General features: G+C 44.9%; 1 protein-coding gene and 1 long non-coding RNA gene across 23 annotated transcripts in view, besides 7 other annotated features; one reads left to right on the plus strand and one right to left on the minus strand.

Annotated features, from left to right (window-relative positions):
- ASAP1 (ArfGAP with SH3 domain, ankyrin repeat and PH domain 1) overlaps window positions 1–18418 on the minus strand; it is a 391571-nt gene that overhangs the window by 299914 nt on the left and 73239 nt on the right. For 10 of the 22 annotated variants that reach the window (NM_001362926.2, NM_018482.4, NM_001362925.2 and 7 more), the window contains one exon: window positions 6000–6126. The exons of 4 other annotated variants lie outside the window; for them this stretch is intronic. In NM_001362926.2, the coding sequence (NP_001349855.1) occupies window positions 6000–6126 (127 nt within the window). Of the gene's footprint in view, window positions 1–5664; window positions 5926–5999; window positions 6127–9652; window positions 9755–18418 lie in introns of those variants that run through there. 8 more of the 22 variants (NM_001247996.2, XM_047421808.1, XM_047421801.1 and 5 more) reach the window with 4 other exon arrangements.
- Window positions 5807–5876: a silencer, noted in NCBI's record as "silent region_19547". NCBI's record gives its function as "represses an Ori minimal core promoter by ATAC-STARR-seq in GM12878 lymphoblastoid cells {active_cell/tissue: GM12878}" and the evidence as "EXISTENCE:reporter gene assay evidence [ECO:0000049][PMID:35858748]".
- Window positions 5807–7126: a biological region, named in NCBI's record as "H3K27ac-H3K4me1 hESC enhancer GRCh37_chr8:131370073-131371035".
- Window positions 5810–6772: an enhancer, noted in NCBI's record as "H3K27ac-H3K4me1 hESC enhancer chr8:131370073-131371035 (GRCh37/hg19 assembly coordinates)". NCBI's record gives its function as "activates a minimal SCP1, AML or CMV promoter by ChIP-STARR-seq in naive H9 embryonic stem cells {active_cell/tissue: H9 hESC(naive)}" and the evidence as "EXISTENCE:reporter gene assay evidence [ECO:0000049][PMID:30033119]".
- Window positions 5897–5966: a silencer, noted in NCBI's record as "silent region_19548". NCBI's record gives its function as "represses an Ori minimal core promoter by ATAC-STARR-seq in GM12878 lymphoblastoid cells {active_cell/tissue: GM12878}" and the evidence as "EXISTENCE:reporter gene assay evidence [ECO:0000049][PMID:35858748]".
- Window positions 6167–6646: a silencer, noted in NCBI's record as "silent region_19549". NCBI's record gives its function as "represses an Ori minimal core promoter by ATAC-STARR-seq in GM12878 lymphoblastoid cells {active_cell/tissue: GM12878}" and the evidence as "EXISTENCE:reporter gene assay evidence [ECO:0000049][PMID:35858748]".
- Window positions 6677–7126: a silencer, noted in NCBI's record as "silent region_19550". NCBI's record gives its function as "represses an Ori minimal core promoter by ATAC-STARR-seq in GM12878 lymphoblastoid cells {active_cell/tissue: GM12878}" and the evidence as "EXISTENCE:reporter gene assay evidence [ECO:0000049][PMID:35858748]".
- LOC124902026 (uncharacterized) lies at window positions 6750–10478 on the plus strand. The gene is made up of 2 exons (XR_007061114.1): window positions 6750–6908; window positions 7215–10478. It is a non-coding gene; the product is annotated as an uncharacterized LOC124902026 (long non-coding RNA).
- Window positions 15774–16273: an enhancer, noted in NCBI's record as "NANOG-H3K4me1 hESC enhancer chr8:131380037-131380536 (GRCh37/hg19 assembly coordinates)". NCBI's record gives its function as "activates a minimal SCP1, AML or CMV promoter by ChIP-STARR-seq in naive H9 embryonic stem cells {active_cell/tissue: H9 hESC(naive)}" and the evidence as "EXISTENCE:reporter gene assay evidence [ECO:0000049][PMID:30033119]".

An 18418-nucleotide genomic window follows, 5' to 3' on the forward strand; every position in this document is an offset into this window, starting at 1 on the left:
CATCCTAAGTACCTCCAGACTGGGTCAAAAGCCTGGGCACAGAGCCTTGACTTGTGTGTGGGAGAGAAACATTATGGGAAGGTTTGTTTGCCTTTTGTTGTATTATCTTCAAGAGGTCAGAGACAGACCCAAACATACTTTCTCTACATTAAGCAAAAGTATAAATCTTGATTTTAGCTAAATCCTTCCTAAGGGTTTTTTTTTTTTTTTTTTAAGACTACAATCTCCTTGGGGGTAATTAATGGGCTCCTTAAGTTTAGCACCTGCAATATAAAGAAGCACTTCCTATTAAGTTTACCAGCTTTTAAAATTTAAGAGGTAATGCACTTGCATTCTTGAGCAAGGGGAGCTGACGAACAAGATCAGACGTCAAACCCTGACCACAGAAATCCTATGCGTAAGATTTCACAGAAAATCACTTAAGGACCTAACAGTATTTATCAAAGACTGATGAGCTCTATCATCAGCATGGCAGACACCCAAAAGGACATAGATAAAGGCTGAAACTTAAATGGAAGGTGAGGGAACACACACAGAAGTCTGACTGGCCTGCATGAGGACTTGACAGTAATGCGATTAATCACAAATCTGATACTGGTTGTATGACCTGGGCAGAATACTTACTGGCTGTACGACCTAGCTGGACAAAATACTTAACTGCTGTAATCCTGAATTTCTTCATCTATAAAATGGAGCCATTGATGATAGTAGGGTGAAAAAAGGTATTAAATAATAGTATGTATAGGGTTTGCATGTAGTAGGAATGTTACTGTTATGAGATAGAGCTTGATACTGAATCTACATTCTGTATCTTCATTCATTTCATCAAACATTTCTATATCTTCAGAAATAACTGAACACACCAGGTGAATACATTAAGAAAAGCCTCTAATGCCAGACCCAAACTTGATTTCCAGTTTCCATAAGAAAACTTTTAGGCTGCATTTTTTGAGGGCAGGGTTCTTCTTCATTGTATCCCTGGGCCTAGCACACTGCTGGGCACATAGGAGGCACTGAACAATCTGTATATTGACTACATGGTAATTTGAGTGATTTCACTTGTATTCCTAGGATGAATGTTCTATACTATTTCCCTCCCCTATGAACTGCCCCTTTCTACCCTGTTAAAGAGTTTTAGCCTTATTTCTTTATTTCTTAAAGACCACTAGCTTCTCCATAATACAATCTGGATAACCCCAATACCTCAGTAGGACTTGGAAAATGACTTGTATATAGCAGGGCCTCCCCAAAAATGTGTTGAACAAATGCTGTTCACGGATTATACTCAAATGAGTTCCCACATTTAAATCTGAAAACTCATATCCAAATCTTCGAAAGTACAGGGAAAAAATAGTATATTTAAGTATCACTATTAAGAACTCTGAAATATAAACATGAAGAAACACTAAGCCTCCAAGGAACTTAGGCACCTTTTTTAATCAGACCAAAACTTGAAGGTGCAATGACAGCAAAGTCTCCTATGTTCCCTATAAAGCCACTGAAATATGTTTTTGTAGACATTTAGAATACCTATTTTATGTCTCAACTGTTTTAAGATTTCTAAACTCTGGGCCAGGCGTGGTGGCTCATGCCTGTAATCCCAGCACTTTGGAAGGCTAAGGCAGGCAGATCACTTGAGGTCGGGAGTTTGAGACCAGCCTGGCCAACATGATGAAACTGCGTCTCTATTAGAAATACAAAAATTAGCCAGGCATGGCGGTGTGCACCTGTAGTCCCAGCTGCCCCAGGAGGCAGAGGTGAGAGAATTGCTTGAACCTGGGAGGCAGAGGTTGCAGTGAGCTGAGATCGCACCACTGCACTGCAGCCTCGGCGACAGAGTGAGAGAGCCTGTTTCACGGAGAGAAGGGAGTGAGATTTTTTTTTTTTGAGACGGAGTCTTGCTCTGTCGCCCAGGCTGGAGTGCAGTGGCGTGATCCTGGCTCACTGCAAGCTCCGTCTCCCGGGTTCATGCCATTCTCCTGCCTCAGCCTCCTAAGTAGCTGGGACTACAAGGCGCCTGACAACACGCCCAGCTAATTTTTTTTTGTATTTTTAGTAGAGATGGGGTTTCACTGTGTTAGCCAGGATGGTCTCGATCTCCTGGCCTCGTGTTCTGCCCACCTCGGCCTCCCAAAGTGCTGGGATTACAGGCCTGAGCCACCGCGCCCAGCCGGGAGGGAGATTTTTAAATTCCATTTTATTTACTAGCCACTTGACCTTAGAGAGAAATCATTTCATCTCTCTGGGCCTCAATTTCCTTCTCTATAAAATGGAAACGATAAATGTTCCTCTTTCAGAGAGCTCATATGAGAGGTAAATGTAAGCATTCATGCCATGTGTCGACAGCAGGCCTGGTATGGAGCAGCTGCTCAATAAATGAGCAGAACTTGCCTCCTTCATTGTCACCAAATTAAAATGTGGCCCAATATAAAATAACCAAGTAGACTTCCATTTATCATGTTGGACTCTCTCTCTGACAAAGGTACTAAGTATTAGCCACTCTAAGTCTTTAAATAGAGGGTCCCTTCTACTGTCTGGGTCACAGCAGTCCTAAAATGCCTGCCTGCTCCCGTTTAGGGAAAACGCTTATGCTCTCCTAGTCACTTACTCATAACTTAAAAATTGTCAAGAGTAAAATGGCACACATCAGTGTGCTTTCACTGCTGAATAAGTAAAACACTGGCTTTTTGCTTGGAAAACACTCACACGCCAGGATGAAACCTTGGCAGAACACCAGCTCATCCATTCCTGCCTCCCCAAGGTAGCCACTCATTGTGTGCCAGCCAAACCGTGAACCCCTGAGCCATGTGTGACCCTTCGCCCCAAAAGGTAAAGCCCAGAAGTAAACCAGAAGTAAACTCCTCTTTGCCTCTTCTTACCATTTTTGAGACGTAGCCTCACTCTGTCGCCTAACCTGGTGTGCAGTGGTGCGATCTTGGCTCATTGTAACCTCGGCCTCCCGGGTTCATATGATTCTCCTGCCTCAGCCTCCCAAGAAGCTGCGACTACAGGCATGCGCCATCATGCCTGGCTAATTTTTTAGTAGAGATGGGGTTTCCCTATCTTGGCCAGGCTGGTCTCGAACTCCTGACCTCAAGTGATCCACCTGCCTCAGCCTCCCAAAGTGCTGGGATTACAGGTATGACCCACCACGCCCAGCCTTCTTACCATATATTTCTCATCTACTTCCAAGAGTGCTCATCACAGAGATTTAACTAAAAGCATCAACATCTGCACAACACACCACAATCTCTACCAAGGAGACATAGTAAAAGAAAGAGTATGGATTAATTTGGGGCTCCAATCTTGGAGATCTAACAGTTTTTCAGTTGCGCTCTATGTATGTGCATTAGTGATCTAAAGAGCAAAAAAAGGTCATCAACAGGAAGGTACTTACTAGAACTAGGAAAATGTTTTTTTTAAATGAGAATTCCAAGTTACCCAAATTAATTCCTATTCCGGAGTTTCCATATCACCAAAAAGTACCCAAAAGTTCTCTTCCTAAGAATAACCACAAAATAACACAAGCCACATTCTTAAAGTTTCCAAATATCTCAGTTGTGAAGCATATGCCAACAAGATTTTGTGGTATGCCCCCAAATTTTTTCTTATATTGAGTGTGGTAATGTTAAGTCCCATATTTTTAAAGAACTGAATTGTGACCCACCTAAGATATTTATAATAATGCACTACTTCCACATATGTAAGCATGGGGGAAAAATTAAAATTCAACTATGGTGGCTATCCTTCAGTAAAAAAACCTAAAGCATACTTTTCACATCTATGCAAAAAGTAACCACTCAAGAGAGTGCAACCTCAAGAATTAAAATATGCCGACCGGAGACAATGTTTTCCTGGCCAATACCTTCCTCAAGTTCAGAATAAAAATTGTAAAATTATTGTGCCATCCTGAAACATTGCTATATTTTTGAGAACATGGGTATCATCAATGTACTCTAACATGACACTGAACTTCTAGCCTGGTTCCAAGTTCCTAAGTGACTACACTTGCATTATAGTTAACTCTATTTTTCTACCTAATCTTACAACAGTATTTCTCATAAAAAAAAATATTTGCTTTTAAATTTATTAACCTTAAACTAACATCAACAGCAACTGCATGTAATTTAACATTAACCCTCTACTACAGGGTTGCTGGAAAATATGCTCGCATACCTCTACAAACAGCATCACCGAATACTTAATCTTATCACACCCTTCACAAACAGAATACAGCAACACTATCTAAATGTGCAGGAAGAGAACGTTAAAATAACTGGCAGCTCTATTAGGAGGCACTGAAAAACTTATCTAGAAGGAAAATAACCACTCAGTCTAATCAATGTCACATCCTTAGAAGTATATACAATTAGTACAGAAAGGGGATGCAAAATGCTCCTGTATCAACATGTTTCAATTTATTACAATTAAGTGAAAGACAGACCCATGATGGGGTTCAATGCCTGGCAATTCTGTTTAATCCCAGACGAGTATAACAGACTGGCAGTTCACAAAGACAAAAAAAAAGAAAAAAGAAAAGAAAAAATCCATTTACCTCTGGTTTTCAAACAAACCTAGTTAGGTGGTATTTCTCCATTCACTTCACAATTCAGTCCCATCACCCAATACTGACTCCAGAGAGAACTCTGGAAGTATGCCGGAATGACACATTCAGTCATAGCACCAAGCAGGCCAGATGGGACCCAGCACTAACAGAAGTCTCTCTCCTCCTAAAATTTGGGATCCCTCTACTTCTGAATCCCAGTTCTACGTGTGTGGAAACATGAGTATCAAAGCTCATTTCAAGATGAGTCGGCCCACAGAAGCCCAAGCTTCCCCATATTACAGAGGTCCGTCCTTGGGGTGGGGGGCTTACATCAGAAAGAGCTCCCCAAACCTCACCTAAACCAGCCACAGCATAACCCACCCAGGGAAAACCATCTCCCTTCCTACTTTCCACCCAATGGTGCCATTTTCAGTTGAAATACGTTTGCCTTGTTTGAAGGGGAGGGATGCTTTATGGCACTTATTGATGATGCTGAGTTCCTGGGCAAATATCCTATTTTTATCGTGGCCCCAGAGGCTTCTGCTGCTCCTTGGCTTTCAGGTTCCTCTTTGCCCATACCACTCTCTCATTAACTCACTGAAAATCCTAAAGAAAATCGATTTGGCCTTGGCCCTGCCCCCCACCCCCCACCAGCAACGCTTTCCTGAAGGGTCCAGGTAAGAGGAGCTGTCTGACTGTCGCCTCGGGCCTCCCTTCTCCGTGTCTGGTCAGCTCAAGCAGGCTGCACCGGCCTCCGATCTCCTTGTCCAGCCTCGGAGTGCCCTGCGGGCAGGTCCTGCTGGCGCAGCAGCCCTAAGCCCTACCAAACCCTCCGGGTTAGGGAAGCCGGGTGGAAACCTATGTGCACAGATCTCTTTCCATCTGGGCTTCAGGCACCAGAGACTAACAGGGAGGACTCCTGGAGTGGATACAGTCCCAGCCTGAGTTCTCTCTGGGTCCTCTGGGATTTTTCCAACGGCCCTCGTCTCCGCAGCTACGCCTGCCTGGTCCAGTCGGGCCGCTGAGGGGTGCGTTCACTGCCCATCTCCTAGTCCCTTGCTGGTGACCTTGGCTGCACTACTTCGCCTCTGGGCCCTCGGTGGCCTGACGCCACCTACCTCGAGGGTTACAGGAGGGTCACGAAGATGTGGAAGCGCCGAACAGTGCATGCCAGGGACAGGACTTCCATCTTCTGTCCTCCCTGGAGTGTCCACAGCTCGCTCAGTCCTCTCCCACCTCCAGTCCCCAGGCCTTTCAACCCGCAAGACCCAGAAAGGGCGAGGAGATGGGGAAGGCGCCGCCCGTCCGAAGTCCCTTATTCACCCGGCGGCTCCCTGAGGGGGTGTGGCGCCCCCGGCCCCCGCGTCCCCTTCCTCCCAGCTCGGAGAGGAGATCCTCCAGCTGCGCGGCGGCAGCGGCGAGCGTGGACGGCGGGGGTCCCGGCCCGACCTACCTCCTCCAGCAGCGTGACGGTGTTCCTGCAGTTGTGCAGCCGCGTGGTGAAGCTGGACGTGGTGGGCGAGTTGTAGTCCTCGGTGGTCTCGGCGATGAACTCCGAGACAGAGATCTGGTCCGGCATCCTGCCGGGAGGGACGAGACACAAGCGGGGGCGGGGGGTGAGTCACGGCGCAGGCTCCCGGGGCCGCGGGCCGCCCGGAGGCTCATGAACCCCGGCGCGCAGCCCGCCACCCGCCGCCCGGCCTGGCGCGCGGCTCCCGTCCCCGGCAGCGGCGAGAGGGAGGGAAGGAGGCGGGCGAAGGCAGGCGGCGGCGGCGCTGGCGGGGCTCGGCGCGGGGCCCTTCAAACTCCAAGCCGCGCGCGAGGCAGGGGGCTCTCCGGGACCCGCCTCCCTCTGCTCATGCCGGCGGCGGCAGCTCCTCAGCGGCGGGGGAGGGGACGCGGCTGCGCGCGGGGTCTTCGCGGGGGTCTGGGCTCCGGCCGGCCGCTGGGGCGTGCGCGGGCTGGGCGGCTGGGGCGCCCGGCGCTGCCTCCTCAGACGCGCTGACAGGCGGCGGCGCGGGCCTGACTGACTGAGCGCACACTCCCGCGGCGGGCGGGCGGGCGGGCGGCGCTCGCGCTGCAGTCACGGGGCCAAACAAGGAAGTGCTCTGCGCACGCGCGCCGCCCCCAGCCCCGCCCCCCCGGTCCCTCCCCGCCCGCGCCCCGCCCCCGGCCCGGCCCCCGCCCCGCCCCGCCCCCGCTCGCGCACAGCCCCTGGGGCCTGGCTCCGAAGCTGCCGCTCCCGACCCCGGCTGCGCGGCACGGGGGCTCCGGAAGCCCGAGTCCCTGGTTCGCCCCCGGAGCGGTTACTTCAGCGAGCTCGTTGCGCGAGCGTTTTGCAAGAAGGGGGCCCAAAAAAGTTGTACGTGTTCTTTTTTAGTCGCGTGTGGGTGCAGGAAGTGAGGCCCCGGGAGAGCCGCCTTCTACTGCGAGGGCCGCCGACCCCGCGAAGGAAGCGCTGGGCGCAGGGGCGGCCTCCCGGGGCCCGGGCTTGCAGCTGCCCGCTCGCCCCATCTCTCTGCAGGGTGCTCCTCACCGCTTACAGGCTGGTTTTGTGCAGTTGCCTTAGGTCGCTACAATGCAGCGTGAAGACGAATGAAGGGTTTGGGGGCTTTTAAAAAAAATAATTTTCTAATCTTTCATTTGCACTTTTTTTTTTAACTTGCAGGAAAGCCGAGGGTCAGGGAATGTAAAAGGCATTGCCCGAGCTGCAAATGGTGTTCGATGCTAAGCAGATGCCAAATTTCGGTGGAAAAAGTACCACCTCACTCCTCGGCCTTGACAGATGGCTAATTTTAAAACTAGCTCAATCTACTTAGTCCGAAGAATCCATTTAATTTCTCACCATTCGCTGAGTATGAATTTGGTTTAAAAGAAGAAGAAGAAGAAAAAAAAAGCTAGGCCTTTGGGAAGGGCCACAGGATTGGTACCTGTAATTCAAGCCAGGAGAGCCTTTGATAGCCTTAGGATGGAAGGCTGAGCCTGTCCTCTGCGACACACACCCACCGCGCCCTACCCCTCACCCCCGGGATTGGGCTTCTGCCATCTTGCACTGTTTTTTTTTTTTTTTTGAGACGGAGTCTCGCTCTGTCGCCCAGGCCGGACTGCGGACTGCAGTGGCGCAATCTCGGCTCACTGCAAGCTCCGCTTCCCGGGTTCACGCCATTCTCCTGCCTCAGCCTCCCGAGTAGCTGGGACTACAGGCGCCCGCCACCGCGCCCGGCTAATTTTTTGTATTTTTAGTAGAGACGGTGTTTTACCTTGTTAGCCAGGATGGTCTCGATCTCCTGACCTCATGATCCACCCGCCTCGGCCTCCCAAAGTGCTGGGATTACAGGCGTGAGCCACCGCGCCCGGCCCATCTTGCACTGTTAAGCCTCACATCCGTTCTCTGGTTCTTACCCCTGACTACAAGGGAGTGCCCCAAAGCAGGGATCTTGTCTTAGCCTTGGGCCTGCTACACAGAAGTAGCAGAGTGGCTGTCAAAATACAGCACCTCATTAACTCTCAAATATTTACTAAGCACTATGTGCCCTGGAGATTGAGTAATGCCAAGGCCCCTGCTCTCATGAAGCTTACCTTCTAGGACAGAACTAGACAACTCACAAATACATAAAGTGGAGTAAATATAAAGTAAGAAAGTGAAGGAGTCGCTATAGTATAAAGAATCTGCAGAGAAGGCTTTGCTGACAAGGTGACATCTTGAGAAAAGAATGACAAGAGTAAGTCACCCAGATAATCCTGTTGTCTATGGCATCTTGGGCCCTCAGCTGCCTCACATGAAAGCAAAAGATAAGGACACCAACCCCAGGACCTGGCTGTTATGTTGAGTTCACTGATGATGGAAGAGAAAGTGCTTTGTGCACAGGAAAGCCATTAGAAAAGTGTGAGATGTTCACCTCCCTCTATTGGCTGTACTGAACCTGCACTGTGCCTCCAGCGAGATGCTCATCAATGTCCTCTAAGAGGCCATGCTTCAGCTAACAAGGGTTCCAGCTAATTAAAGGGAAATTTTGTAAGGGGAATGTCCATAAATAAATATTCTTCCCTGGCAAAGGGAAGTTGAGAAGTCAACTTCAAAACACATTCTTTAAAAAATTAGTAAATAAATAAACAGGCACCCACTTTGTCCTCATTAGCACTTTAAAAGCTTGGTTTGGGACACACCAAGTTTGAAGTTCAGAGGAGACAGCCAGATGATGATAGCAGACAGCTGAAGATCCATACCTGGAGGTCACTTGCTCATGTGCCATAGTTGACAGAACATGGTCTTTTGAAGTATGAGCTACCCAGGAGAAAATCCTACCATCCTTCCCCACATACTAACCAAGTCACTCTGCATCTGGAAAATTCTGTGACTTGGAACAAATATGGCCCATGCTAGTTGAGCTAATTAAGCTCTCTGAGACTCAGTTACCCCATGGAGCACTGACAACACACGGCACTTAGGCTTCACTCCAAGAAGGCCTTCCTTCCTCTAGGCTGGAAACAATTTCAGACTTGGATTCTTGCATTTATTTTGTTCTCCCATCTATTCCAGGTAGTCGTCTAGCACCTGTCACCTCCACTGAGGTGGTGGTTCCTTCCATCTTCTTCATCTGGCATTATAGTAAAGACTCAATAAATATGAGCTGTTATTAAAAGCCAAAAGTCAGTGTTTAATTGCCTCAATTCCAAGAGGCCCTGGGTTCCAGAGTTTTCCCTCCTAGTAACTGATGCTGTCATCTTGGGCCTTAGTGCTATCCTTTGTAAAATAAAGGAGTGAGTGTGTCAAAATGACCACAGATTCCTCCCAGCAGGAGCCGACTTGTGTATACAGTCAGCTCTGGAGATGCAAAGAAGAAAGATTATTACAACAAGCTAAGCTAACTGCAATGGTAGACAGCTGGGGATTTCTTTCTTGACTGAATTCACCAAAGACTCCAAACTGCTGCCATCAATTGCTGTTTCAGTTTCATTTGAAGATTATGTTATGTATCTGCTCCTCCCCCATCTCCTTTGGCCAAGAAAGGAATATGCTCACAATGAGATATTGTGCTTTGGTAAGTATATACCTCCTCAGACTGGTCTGCAATTACAATTTCAAAGGTTCACACCTCTACTCACCATTTCTGGGCCATAATCCTCTTTAAATTTGAAACCATGCCTCAGTGAAAACCATCTGCACCTCTCATTTTCTCAAATACTCTGAAAATCATTCCTGGATATCTGAAAGCAAATAGAGACTGACATGGGCAAAACGTAAATGCTGGATTTCTTTGTGTGGAGCTGCCCCGAAATATACACCATCCTCCCCAAAGCCAGGAAAAATGTGCGCACACACATATTTGTGTGCACCTGGCTTTATATAAAGCAAGCATCATCTCTGTTGTCGCCATTATAATAAGACTGTTCAGCACTCTTGTCCTCCTCATGCCTGCCTCTTACTCTGAGCACTGCTGACTGAGGTTTCTAACACCATGATTATGGCAGGATGCACTTTGTCGCCTTGAAAAAAAGGCAGCAGGAACAGTGGTGGCTTATTCTTCTGAACAGCAATGGCGCTAACGACCCACTTGCCATCAGGGAATTGGCTCTCAGTTACATTTCCAGTTGCAGACCTCACTCTCATCCATCTGTCTTATAACCAAGGGGGGATGCATTTGCAAGATGACTGACCAGAAACCAGAGGTGGGGGAGTGTGGGTGGGGAGTCAGAGGTGCTCTGTGGGCCCAAGAAACCACAAGGAGCTTTGATCCACAGTGTTAGCCAGCGACAGCATTCATCACAGGCTCCCGATGCCCTCATGGAATGACGACAATGGCTAAAGTGGGAAGGGAACACACTTTTTATTACATGGACCTGAGCTTAAAACTCTACTTTCTTGTTTATTCACCTTCTTTTCTAAACTATGTTTCAGATTATTGTGTGAAATAAAATGAGAAAATATGGATAAGTAGGCTGATGCATAGTGAATAATCAACCAATGTGAATTCCCTTTGAACTCCCCTTTTCTGTGAAAGATGACTATAAATACATCTGCTTTCATTCCACGACTCAGATATCTCTAAATTAGTCACTAGGAGGAGGAAAAAAGAGGGAGCGGGGAAGGCTGCACAGTAATTCCCGAAGTCTGGGATCTCAGATTTGGGAATAAACAGTCTTCAGAGACCTCGCTTATTTTCAAAGTATCCTTTGTTAGGTCAGATGCATTAGTGATGGCTTGGATTTTGGAGGTAAATAAATAGTATCTAGAGTCAAACTGGCTGCATACCAATCAAGATGAGAAGTAAGTTAAGACCAACTCACTAAAATAAAATAAAATAGCCTATTTTCATGCAACATAGTCCCTGTAAAGAAGGATAATCTGAGCAAAACAACTTCTAGGGGATGATAGCATGGGGCATTTCTTTTGCAGGAGCATGAATTATGGGCTGATTCTCACATAAAAAAGATAGGCTCCCGTCTCTGCCATGAAGAAGCTACTAGACCTTGTTAAAGTATTTCTCCTCTCTGAGTCTCAGTTTTCATATCTATAAAATGGGGGCAATGACAACCCCTATCTCAGTGTTCTGAGAATTCAACGAGCTAAGGTATATAAAGTGCTTAGCAGGGTCTCAGACATCCTAAGTAGACAATTATTTTTCCGATATTATGGGAACTTTGAAAACCTTATCTGGAGATATAACTTATGATATTCTTGCCGGGTGCAGTGACACACACCTGTCATCCCAACTACTTGGGAGGCTGAGGTGGGAGGACTGCTTGAGCCCAGGAGTTTGAGAGCAGTCTGGACAACATGGCGAGACTGCATCTCATTTTTTTTAATAAAAAATAAAATAAATTCTGATATTCTTGCAAAAACAAAATATTCACCATGACCTGCTACGTACCAGACACTTTGCTAAGTATAGAATTTAGAATACATTTATCCTTCTTTAAGCCTCATGACAACTTTATAAAGTAAGTATATTTATCCCAAACTTACCAGAGAAACCTAAGGCTGCTGGGGTATAGAATATGACTTTCTCAGTTTCCATCTGGAGTCAGGTACTGCATTGGTGGTTATATATGTAATGTCTGAATTCATTCATATAACAGTCCTGAGATGCAAGTATTACAATAATGGAAACTGAGACACAATAAAATCTCACTGCAAGTTAATGTCCCTGAGCCTGGCAGACTCTAAATCCAATGCTTTTTCTGCTGCCTGCAAAATTGGTCTCTTTACTGTATTCTGTATAGGGCTACTTTGTTAGATACAGTATTTTTCCCAGCCCAGGCAACCAAAGGAAGTATCTGTATTTCACCTGACAACTTATGAATTCATTTTCTACCAACTTAATGAAGTGGTGGAGGAAAGGAAAGTGCTGAAGGAGCAGGATGGAGGGAGGGGGCTGTACTTGATTCCATCTTTTACACTTAGGCTCATGTTCCCATAGTCTACATAAACTGCTTTTTTCATGTTCTTTGTATGAGTGCTTCCCAATTGCACTCGTGCAATTTCAGGTAATAATAATAATTAAAAAAAGCCAATTCTAGTCCCAAATGTACTTAATTCAATTTAAATACTCCAAGCAAAACCACTAGAGTTTTCTCAGTAAAGAGAAGAACATGGTTTGTTTGGAGACAAAAAACTACTCTGGTTCTACCTCCCTGTTCCTCTGATGGAAGTAGGAAGAAAAGAGGCAGAATGGTGGGAACCTAGAAGAAATGTAGCATAAATATCAACTGAATGAACTCAGGGATGTATTTCTGTTTAGTCCTATGAAAGAATAATTGTGCTTAGTATTATGCGCCCTGTATTATCCTGAGTCATTGCAGGCGCAACCTCACTTAATACTTGCAGCAACAATATAAAGCAGGTACTGTATTATTCCCCATGTTATATGCATGGGAAACCTGAAGCTTAGAGGTTACCTGTCAAGTAGTGGAGCAGGACTCAAGCAATCTGATTTCATAGCCCATGTGATCAGCCACCATGCTCTGTTGGCTTATCAAAGACAATGGATGAGTCCACAGCCCCAGGATGCTTTTTCTGTTGGGGTATATGTGCGTGTGTTTTCCTTCTGGGGAACTCATTACAAGCCCAATTCAAATGCAAGCTTGACTGGTCTAGAGAGCAGCTCCTTGCCCCATTCCTCCAGGTGGGATTAATCTTCATGTGGGTATCCACAGTCAGCTTCTCTCACTCTGCCTTAAGCAACTGGAGGATATTGGCACCATTCAGAGGAGAAACTGAGAACTTCCTCAGCAACAAATAGCTCTGTTAGCAGAAGGGCTTGGCTCTGACTCATCTCTCACTTGGGCTCAGGAGTTTGAGGCTGCCGTGAGCTATGATTGCACCACTGCACCTCAGCACTCCAGCCTGGACAACAGAGCAATCCAGTCTCAAAAAATAAATAAATAAAATAAAACACAAAAAACAAATGCCAAACAAACAAACACCTTGTATCTTCCAAGTGAGTATCCTATACCGCAAAGTCCCAGACTATCAATCCCTGACAGCATTCAGGGACTAAATCCTACCCATGTCTGTATCACCTACATCCCCCAGCAACTAAAGCAAGGACAGAAGATTCCTGGAGCCCCAGGCTTGGCCTTTTACAAGCACCATCTCCTGAAATCTTCCTAGTAACCTAGTGAGGTAGTGTGTTTTCTGCAAGAGAACTCAGAGATAAGCACAATTTGCTCAAGGTTAACAGTTAATAAGTGGAAAAATGCTATTCAGTCAGTCTGAATCCAAACCCTGTAGGCTTTTTCTTCTCTAGGAAAGCACTGCCTAGTTGGGGTCCCTTGTGGGCCCCCATAAATGTGTTTTGAATTGAACTGGCTCCCTTTTATGAGCTACATCATTTCTAATACAAGTAAAACAACCTCCAATGAAGAAAAAAATCATGGTGTTTTATGGGAGTCCTAAAAACTTGCGATCTATAGGAACGAGGGATTTAAAATCTTGCTTATTTCTGATAAAGTCACATTAACCTGAAAAATGAGAAAAACTTACAATACACCCAGGTTTCTTTGATGAATTTAAGTTGAGTTCATCACCTTTAATGATGCCCAACTTCTGTGCTATATCAAGAATGAGAACGTTCCTCTTTTATGGCCCTTTTCAATGGTATCATTTTCCAGGGTACCATTTTCCAAATATTTATATTTATCCAACTAGACTGTGACCTACCTAAGACCAGGGAGGGTTTCTATTTGCTATTATGGCCCCAAAGTGCCAAGTGTTTAAGAGATACTTACTGAATAGAAGGAAGACTGAATGAATGAATGAACAAACATTTATAGGGGGAAGGGTATGAGAGGAATTGAGAGAGGAGAAATGGAGAGATCCAGAAGAGAGTAAGATCCACAGAAGTGATCCCGGTTTTTAGAGTCGCTGTCATTATTTTACATCACTATAAGCCATAAGAGCCAGCGAGAATTTTAAGGATAACATGCTTTCCAAACTTTTCATTTTTTGGATAAGGAAACTGATTCCCAAGCAGTTAGGTGACTTGCCCAGTGTTCCCTGACAGATTTGTGGGAACTGAGCCAAATGCCAAGTATCCTGGTTCCCAAGGGTTTCCCACTCCACCTTTCCCAGTTATATTTCAAGGATAGGATTAAAGACCTTCAGAAACTCCCGTCTACAACAGATTATGTTGTCTTTGCATCACAGAATCAAGGAATGCCTATGCACAATTGCCTACTATTTAAAAATTGTAACAGTATAAAGTTTGGCACACCATCACTTAACTGACACTCCTAATTTGGGGCAAGAGGACTGTGCCCCACAGTACTCACCTAGTTGTACTGTTTTTCTAAGCCACCCACCCTTTACCCAGAGAAGCTTCCCAGCACATGCAGAGTGTAGGTCAAATTTCTCCTTTTCTCAAGTCCAGTTGCCTATTGTGATTGACACAGTTCCTCCTCCCTTGGTCATTTTCAGAGATGAGATCATTGCCTCCTGAGTCTCTGACAACATTTTCCCCTGGGTACAGAGGTATTAGGAGGGAACCAGTCAGTTCAGTTCTAATCCACAAACAGTTATTAAGCAGCTTTATAACCTTTCTAGGGGCTAAGAGTGTGCGATCTGGATTCAGATTACCTGGGGTTCAATCTCAGTGCTGCCATTTAACAGGATTTGTTACCTTAGGCAAGTTATTTAATTTAAATTACTTTATTGTTAAAAGGAAGATGATGATAAGCCCTCTCTCTCAAGGTTGTGGTAAGATTGAAATGAGATAATCTGTGCAAATGCTTAGCACAGTGCCTGGTATATAGTAAGTGATCAATAAACATTAGCTACTAATACCACTATTTGCATTCTAAACAGGTACTATGCTAGATTCCTTTTTTTTTTTTTTTTTTTTTTGAGACAGAGTCTTTCTCTGTCACCCCAGGCTGGAGTGCAGTGGCACAATCCCGGCTCACTGCAACCTCCACCTCCCAGGTTCAAGCGATTCTCCTACCTCAGCCTCCTGAGAAGCTGAGACCACAGGTGTGCGCCACCACACCCAGCTAATTTTTGTATTTTTAGTAGAGACGGGGTTTCACCATGCTGGCCAGGATGGTCTCGATCTCTTGACCTCATGATCTGCCTGTCTCGGCCTCCCAAAGTGCTGGGATTACAGGTGTGAGCCACCACACCCGGCCGCTAGATACTTTAAGAGCCAAAAATAAATTTTAAAACATAAGAGACAACCTCTGTCATCAAGGAGCTCATATGTAGGCAGAGATACTGGTTTTCAGCACAAGTGATGGAATATTCAAATAATTCAAACAGAAAATAAAGGTGTATTTTAAAAGTGACCAATGAATGTAAAGTCCAAGTAAAAGTAATTTGATGTAACGCTCTCTCTCTGATTTGCCCACAGCCCAGCTAGATCTATTTTTATGAGCACTTTTCAAAGCCACTGAGGCTCTGAAATACTACTCCAAAAGAAACATTTGATAAATGGTAGCTATTTGTGACTTTTGCACCAAGATGTTTGTGACATGGAATGCCAGGGAGGTAGGCTCCTTTTCCTCAGCCAAATAATTTCACCTCCCTCGGCCTCATTTTCCTTGTGGTTAAAATCAGCACCTTGGGGCACAGGCTCTCAGAGGTCCCTTGGCAATGGCATCCTATAGCTCAATAAATGCTTTTTTGACATCAGTGTGACTACCAACTCCAAACACAAAGAGGTCCCCAGCTCTGCTTCAAAACGCTAAGAACTGTCTGGAGGTCTTCCGTCTGGGTTGGGGCCCCCGTTAAAGATACCCTATATTACATGAATCTGTCACAGTATTCTCTTGTTGCTTTTCAAAAATATGATTTCGCCTGCAATGTATTTGAACCCACATAACAATGAGCTGTATCATAACAGGATTTTTCCATAACCATGTCAAATGTAGGGCATTGCTCCACTTGAAACAGGAAAACTGCCCGCCCACTGCAGAGTTTTCTTCTTAACATATGCTATTTAGTTAACGTCCTTTTTCAAGTGTGAGCATTTGAATCACACTAGGGGCTCTAATTCAGAAAAAAAAACAAGTCTCTACAATTGCTAGCAAACCTTCTGAGACAGCATCCAGCTTCTGTTCCCTAATATTTTCTGGTTTTTTGTTTTTAAAAAATTAGGTTTTTTGCTCTGGCCTTAGAGGTTGAGAGGCATTATACAAACAAATTTATAAAATTGCTATATTTACATAGACAGCAGAGAACTTATTTTCAATATCATATTATTTTCATGAATATTATTTTCAATATCATGGGGGGTTTTGTGTGAATAAACTACTTTTCTCCCGATGTTTGGGTTTAAGAATTAACTTTCACTTACTCCCAACTAATTTTAACATCTTGAAATTATCAGCAGTTCAGACAGACTTTTAGCATACTGACTACATTGTCTGTCTCTCCTACATCCCCTTCTTGTAGGAACTACTCCTCCCTGACTCCAGGTAATTTTCTAGACTGTCAGTCATGTCTCTACTTTCCCAACTAAAGGGCTGGACCCAGGCTGTCCAATCAGAGTATTCCAGAATCCTGATAACAGCAATGATGGGTACTAGAACAGGCATTTAACTCAAGCATGGCCAACCAGAATCCTTCATGGAGGACTGATATAGATGCTAGGATACAGAGGAATATGCCTTTTCTCTCTAAGACTTAGTAGGCCTTCAGCTACTGGTGACCATCTTTGCCACACATCAGAGAGCTGGCCTAAGAATGATCATAACCAAAAGATGGCAAGAGATGCGGGAGAGTCGTGGTGACCTCATTTGAACCACTGGATCCACAAAAATCTATCCCATGCCTAATGTTAGTCCAACCCTTGGACTTCCTAGTAATGTGAGCAACTGTACTTCTTTTTTAGTGTAAGCTAGTCTGAGTTGGGTTTCTACCACTAATACTAAAAAAGCCCTGGCTAATCTTTTCCTGGGTTCCAGTACCATCTTCACAGTTACTAGATGTGTTATGTTAGGCAAGCTGTTCACTGCCTTAGGGCCTCAGCTTCCTCATCCGTAAAATGGGGATAATGATATTTACGTCAAAGGATTGTTATACAGAATCAATTAGATAATACACATAACAGAATGGGAGAAAATAGTTTCAAATCGTATACAGGTTGAGTATTCCTTATCTGAAATGCTTGGGACCAGAAGTGTTTCAGATATTTTTTTTTATTTCTGGAATGTTTACATATACATAATGAGACACCTTGGGGATGGAGCCCAAGACTAAACACAGAATTCACTTATGTTACATATAAACCTTATACACATAGCCTGAAGGTAATCTTATACTATATTTTTAATGATTTTGAGCAGGAAACAAAGTTTGTATACAATGAAATATCAGAAAGCAAAAGTGTCAGCATCTCATGTTGGCATTCAAAAAGTTTTGGATTTGGGAGAATTTCACATTTGGGATTTTCAGATTGGGAATGCTCAACTTGTATTTGATAAAGGCCTAGTATTCAAAATATATAAACTTTTGCAACCCAACAATAAAGAGATAAATAACTAATTTAAAAGTGGACAAAGGGGTTAAATAGACATTTCTCCAAAGATATACAAGTGGATAATAAGCACATGAAAAGATGCTGAACATCACTAAACATTAGGAAAATGCAAATCAAAAACACAATGAAATGCCACTTTGCACCCACTAGGATGGCTGTAATAAAAAAGATGGAAATTGACAAGTATTGTCAAGGATGTGAAGAAACTGGAACCCACCACATTGCTGGTAGGAATGTAAAATGGTGGAGTAGCTTTGAAAGACAATTTGGCAACTCCTCAAAAGGTTAAACCAAGTGTTATCATCTGACCCAGCAACTGCTTACTATTGTGGACTGAATGCATGTGTCCCACCCAAATTCACATGTTGAAATCCTAACCCAATGTGATGGTATTACAACGTGACACTTTTGAGAGGTAATTAAGTCATGAGGGTGGAGCCCTCATGAATGGGAACAGTGCCTTATAAAAGAGACCCCAGGCCGGGCACAGTGGCTCACGCCTGTAATCCCAGCACTTTGGGAGGCTGAGGTGGGGAGATCACCTGAGATCAGGAGTTCAAGACCAGCCTGGCCATCATGGCAAAACCCCGTCTCTACCAAAAATACAAAAAATTACCCAAGCATGGTGGCGCACACATATAATCCTAGCTACTCAGGAGGCTGAGGCAGGAGAATAGCTTGAACCCAGGAGGCGGAGGTTGCAGTCAGCTGAGATCACACCGTTGCATTCCAGCCTGGGGGGTGACAGAGCAAGACCCCATCTCAAAAACAAACAAACAAACAAAAAAAACAGAGAGCAGCTCTCTAGCTATTTTTCAGCCATATAAGGACACAATGAGAGGTCAGCAGCCTGCAAGGGAAGAGGGCCTCACCAGAATCCAACCATGCTGGTACC

The sequence above is a fragment of the Homo sapiens genome, chromosome 8 (genome assembly GCF_000001405.40).
Source record: "Homo sapiens chromosome 8, GRCh38.p14 Primary Assembly".
In the NCBI taxonomy this organism is placed as follows: Eukaryota; Metazoa; Chordata; class Mammalia; order Primates; family Hominidae; genus Homo; species Homo sapiens.